The sequence below is a fragment of the Homo sapiens genome, chromosome 13 (assembly GCF_000001405.40).
Source record: "Homo sapiens chromosome 13, GRCh38.p14 Primary Assembly".
NCBI classification, from domain to species: Eukaryota; Metazoa; Chordata; class Mammalia; order Primates; family Hominidae; genus Homo; species Homo sapiens.
This window is the reverse complement of record NC_000013.11, coordinates 42,681,103-42,687,242: the sequence shown is the minus strand read 5'-3', so window position 1 is coordinate 42,687,242 and position 6,140 is coordinate 42,681,103.

Below are 6,140 nucleotides of genomic sequence, written 5' to 3'. Positions count from 1 at the left end.
TTAAGGAGGGAGCAGGGAGAGAGATATTTAAAAAAAAAAAAAACAAACCCTATACCTAGTCTGCCTTATTTTATCAGAGGTCAATTTCCTGAGTTCTTTTGAAAATTACATGTTTAAGCTATGCCTGTCTATTGTTTTACTTCTATAATTCTATATTCCATTCTTACAATTTGACATCAATTTAATAAATGTAAACGAAGAATCAGTAGATATTATGGATAGTCCTGAACTTATTTATAAACTCCTGGGTTCAAATGGACTTTGAAAAGAAATGTGATAATATTTTTGCTTTCAAAACATTGAATTAAAAAAAAACTCTGCTAAAAAAAGGCTTATTATATTATTATCTTTTATGCTTAGGAGATAAAGAATCCTAAATGCCATGTCTGCCTAGGAATTTAAGAATTTCACTCCCCAGCTTTTCTTGACATATATTTAGTGTTAATTTCTCAATAAACTTCATTTCTATGTTTACTGATATTTTTGCATTATCCTCAAACTTGCTAAACACATTAAACCGCCTAAGCATCCCTTGCTTCACTTTTAGAAAAATTAGTAACTTTTAAATATAACTGAGAAGCTGGATCTTTTTCTATGCTGTGATGAGGAATGATTTTTCTGTTTTATATCACATGTTCGGGCAGTACAAATTTTCAAGCAAGCTCTGCTTTCTCAAAGGTGCATTACTGAAACTTTGGCCTCTAGTTTTAAATTTCCTGCAGATATCACAGTCCATTCCACAGAGATAGCATTAATCTCCTGTACTGAGACAAGATGTTCCCATTATTCACCAAGATAACTAGTTCTCAGATTTTGCTGACAAGAATCTTTTTTCAAATGTGCAGACCAAAGAGGTTGGCAAGAACCCACTTAAGAGAAGAAGGCAGCAGAGTTGAAGATCAGCCTTCCTGATGTTCAGAACACAAGTTATTTTAATCTCTATCCTGACAGTTGTGAAAATAACTCCAAGGTAATACCATCCAGTATTAAGCAAGAGATGAGTATGGTTTTTCTACATGAATAGAATTGTATTTTGTCTATATGACATATAAAATCTGCAAAATAATACTTGACATTATATTTTTGCTTTCACTTCATGTCTGAGGTATAATTTTTTGAGGCTCTATTTATTAACCAAACTGTTTGGTCATTTGTATATGATTAAGTGAACATATTAAAAAAATTTTAAATGTAGATGAGCCATCTAACTTGCCAAAGTTAAAAATACTCATATGACATCTACAAGATAAGAGTGTGAATAGCTTATGTTGAAACCTGATTAACACGAAATTCTTTCAAATGTTCTTTGAGCAGTCCAGTGGACTTTTCTCTCAGTCCTTTCTATTTTTAAAACATTTCTGAAGTGGTTTGTTGTGTAAGAAAACTCTCTTTATTAGAAGATTGAATCACCAAAAGAGCAGGTATTCGATATTTGAGCTTTACTAACAAGCTGCGTAGTTTCCCCTCTCCAGACGTCAGTTTCTTATTCTGCAAAAAAGGAAGGTTGGCCTTGATAATCTCTATAGTCTATCCCACCTCAAAAAAATCTGATTCTAGAATTTTTGTTTTGCTGTAAAATCCCCAATCAGTTGGATAAATGGTGAGCTAAGATGAGCTAACATCAGTGGGAACACCAACTACTTCTTAACCCAGCATGCTCTGTAGTTCTATGGTAGGAGTCATTAGCATTATGGAATAGAAATACGATTACAAGTTCATATTAACTTGTTACATGAAGTTCACCATCTCAGAGAGAGTGTACTGTGAACTTGTTGATAAAAACTGAGGTCATCAAAAAATGACAGTATGTGTGCACTCACATGTATACACTTCTGTGTGAGAGTTTGTGCAGGTGTGTTAGCATGTGTGGGTAAATGTGCTTGTAACTTTAGAGGAAGGAAATAATAGTGGTATAGACATGATGAGAAAAGGTAAGCTTGCCTCAGAGAAACCCCATTTTCAGGCTCTTTGGCAATGTTGATAAAATGTGACAGTTTATACAAGGTCATACTTCAGTTCAAACATACCAATTCTAGATTACTCTCCCTCTTTCAGCGCAAAGACATAAGCAAGATGCGCATTCATCTGTCACACATCCCTGTGAAAATGTGTGAATTAATGAACTGTTTAGGCTGAAAGACACTTTAAAGTTAAATGGCTTGGCATTTTATTAATTTCTTTTGTTTTTTGAACTCGACAACACACGGAGCAAATTATTCTATTGTCAAATGAAATTTCTACAAGTAATATTTTCAAGCTAAGAGAATATACAAAAAAAATTTTGATAGATAAGCACTTATCAATAATCACATTAGCACGTTTTTCAGGGCTACAGAGTCTTAACAGAAGACGTACTTTAATGACTATTTTTCAGACTACCTGTTGGCAAATTGCAGCCCATGGGCCAAATCTGGCCCACCATCTGTTTTTGTAAATAAAGCATTGTTGGAACACAGTCACATTCATTCACTTATACATCACCTGCTTTCCTGTTACGGTGGCCAAGTGTAGTTGTGACAGAGACCATATGTTACAAAACTTTAAAAATGAACTATTTGGCCCTTTACAGAAAAAGTTTGCTAACCTCTGACCAAGACCATAGGTTCTCAACTTTTATTATTACTATTTCTTTTTTAAATATAAGTGGCCCAGGCCCTTTTTTCAATATGTAAATAATTAAATTACTATTGTTTTCCCTGATGATAAGTTATTCCTGATAATACTTGTTGCAGATATTCTGGTATCTCGCCATCAGTCAAGTACTCTTTTCAATCTTCTTTCTCAACCAAGCACTCATTTTGCACCTAAAATTCTCAGTACAGATTAGATTATGCAAGATAAGTGCACTCATGCAGGTTTTTAAAAGTCCTGGAAACATGGCATATTTCTGCAGTCATAATCCAGTGTTAGCTCTTCAGCTAGAAACTGAGGCTGCGGAGATGGCACATTCCTGATTCCTGGATCCCAGCTATGGTAGCACATTCTTAGACCCTATAGTTTCTGTGGTGGTGGTGGTGGTGGGCTTCTGATCTCCTCCCTTGCTGATAAGGCCTAAGATTGTAGGGCTCCTGGCAGGCAGGCCTGCAGTTATTCTGGAAGTCATTCCAAAGCCCCTGCCCTGAAATACCTCCTTTAGCTTTTTCAATAACTTTGTAAGCACATATCTGAATTAAATCCTTTTGTATTTAAAATACCTTAAGTGTCTTTCATTTTCTGTGCAACATCTTGACGACATGCTGAATTCTTACTTACGTGAGTCTGGTTTAAGATCTTTTCTCCTTTTCCATTCATCCAAAATCTCCTTCAGCTCCATGATCACACTGTTGAATCACTGTAGTTTCATAATGAATTCGCAATTTGGTAGGACAAGAACCTTTTTATTATACTTTTTTTGGAGGGGTGGAGCATTCTTGAAGATTAATTCTTGCAAATACATTTTGGAATCAATCTGTCAAATCTCCCTTCATCTGCTCACCACAAAATAGCTGAGATTTTAATTAAAATTGCACTAAATTTATAAATTATTTTGAGGATAAACTAACATCTTTATAATATTAAGTTTTCCTATCAGAGAATGTAGTTTACCTCTTTATTTAAGGCTTCTTTCACAGGAGAACACATTTTTAAATTTTTTTAAAAAAAAGAAAGAAATAACAGATTTCACACATGATTATAGTTGTATGGATGAACACTGATGGATACTGAAACAAAGCGTAATATCAAAAGGCTAATATGAATTCTGAAAGGTTTTTAAATGAAAATTTGTACTAATCAAATAGCATCTATGTACACTTGGAAAATGAATAAAAGTGAAAGACACACTATTTATTGAATCTGAAGATTATACTCGGGGTATACATGGATTTAATCAATCAACCCTTCACATAATTTCAAGGATTTCCTAGATTATCTAGTCAACGGGTTAGGAAGCACCAATTTAGACCAACCTTCCCCCACAGTGAGAATTCTTTGGACAGCATTTCTGGGTCAATTATTGTAGAGGCTAAACTTTCAGTAAGGAGAATTTACTACCTGGTAGGGTAACTATTTCATTCATGGAAAAATCTAATAGGAAAGGATTACTTCTTCTATGGAGTCAAGTCTATCTGTGCTCCTGTCCCCTGGAGCTAAAATGAATAAATCTTACTTCTGGAGTATTTTGGTCTTTTAAATAACTGATAACAACTTTCATCTCCCCCACGCCCATCTCAGTTTTCTCTTGCCAGTTCTTTCAATTTCCTTTTAGAGCTTATTCCCAAACCCTTCACTAGTCACCCTTCTGCAAAAGTACCTCAGTTTCTCACTCCCATTTAATGAGCAAAACTCAGCAATTAGTTTAATAAGCTAACTCCAGCACCCCAGATATGTGTTTTAATATTTGAATAGTATATTTTCATGCATATTGAACTTTGGCTCCATAGCGCATTTTGTCACCTAGGTTTCTGGGTTTTCTTACCTGAGCTCTAAAGCCAAGCTGCTCTGAATCTGCATATTAAACACACACATGCTTGCACGTGTGTGCAATTTTTTCTTTTTCTTTGGAAATAATTTCAGACCTATAAGAATAAGAGTACAAAGGACATTCATATATCCTTTACCCAGATTCACTGTTGCTAACATTATACTCCACTTGCTTTATCAATTGCTCGCTTTCTCATAATTTATTATTATATTTAATTATGTTGCTGCTCATATTGTTACAGTTTGGCCAGTGAGAACATTTTCATCTGGCTCTTGCATCCTTTTTTCATGCCCTGTTTTTTTTGTTTTTAATTTTTCTTTTTTTGTTGTTGTCTTTTGATTTTTTATTTTTTTTTGCACTTCCTTACTTTCTAGCAGAGCAAGATTATTCTCCAGGCTTACCTATGCTATGCCAGCCTGGAATTAGCCGCTTCTCCAAAGAGCCCTAGTCTTTTTTAGTGGAGAATTAAATCTGTACTTGATAATCAATTGACACTTTAAGAGCCTGAAGCTGTCTTAGAGATCTTTAGATGGATGAGGTAACTTGAACCCAGAGAGCACCAGTAACTAGTTTAGTCAAACAGCTATTTAGAAGCAGAGCCGGGATCAAAGTCAGGTCTTCTAACTCCCAAATGCCTTATATCTGCTCTTTCTATTTTATAACTTTCCAGCTTTCACACAGCATTCAATAATAATCTGTGCTAAGTTTCATTCTGTTGATTTTGTTCCATCATTTTAACATCCTGAGACATTTATGTATTAACTAGTGTCCTCATTGGATACTCAATCTTAATTCAAATTCTTTAAAAGTAAGTTTCTAAACTGAGATCAGATCTATTTTCAACTTCAGAGGAGATTTCTTGGACTGAATTACAAATCTTTAAATAATGAGGTGTTTAATGAAACCAGGACTAACACATCGTTAACTGTGGGTTGAGAATGGTGCTCTTATAATGGCTATTTTTTTTTTTGGAGCTTAATGGAAAAATACAGAATATTGAAAATGTTTTCTTATTGTTATTTAATTTGTCAAAACCTCATCATTTATGCTACATTTTAAATGAGGTGGAATAGTTTTTAAAGATGCTACAGAGATCATTACAAAAGCACTGGGAAGCCAAACATACTGTGGAGGGAGAGTGGGAGGAAGCACAGGAGGCAACAAGAATTACTGAGCTCGATGTGAATCTGGGCGCCGGCAGCACACATCAGCTTAATTCATTGCCAACAGTCCACAGGGAGACATAATGTGAAAGTTAAAATGGAATTGAGATAGGTGTGTTGACAGTTCTGCATCCATAACATCCACCCATCCCAAGGCACCATCTGTTACATCTTCAGTCTTTTTGTGAGTATCAGCAATAGAGGTAATTAAGCAAATGAGCAGCTAAAATTGAAGTTTCCAGAAAGGAGGAAAAGTTAGCAAAGATATGACAATGGGGTGTCATTGTAGGAGCAGAGGCTGAACACCTGGATCATCCTTTATGGATATAAGAGAGTGAATGAGTGGTGGGACCAGGGGTGGAACCAGGAGACCTCACAGCTTCACGGTGCTCCTAGTTTCAGAAGCCGCTAATGGCAAAGGGAAAATGCCTCTGGCTTCCCTATTAAGCGGGAAGAAGAATGAACTAATAAGTTTGGAGGCACCAGGAAAAGAAAAGATGCCAATCTGCTATATT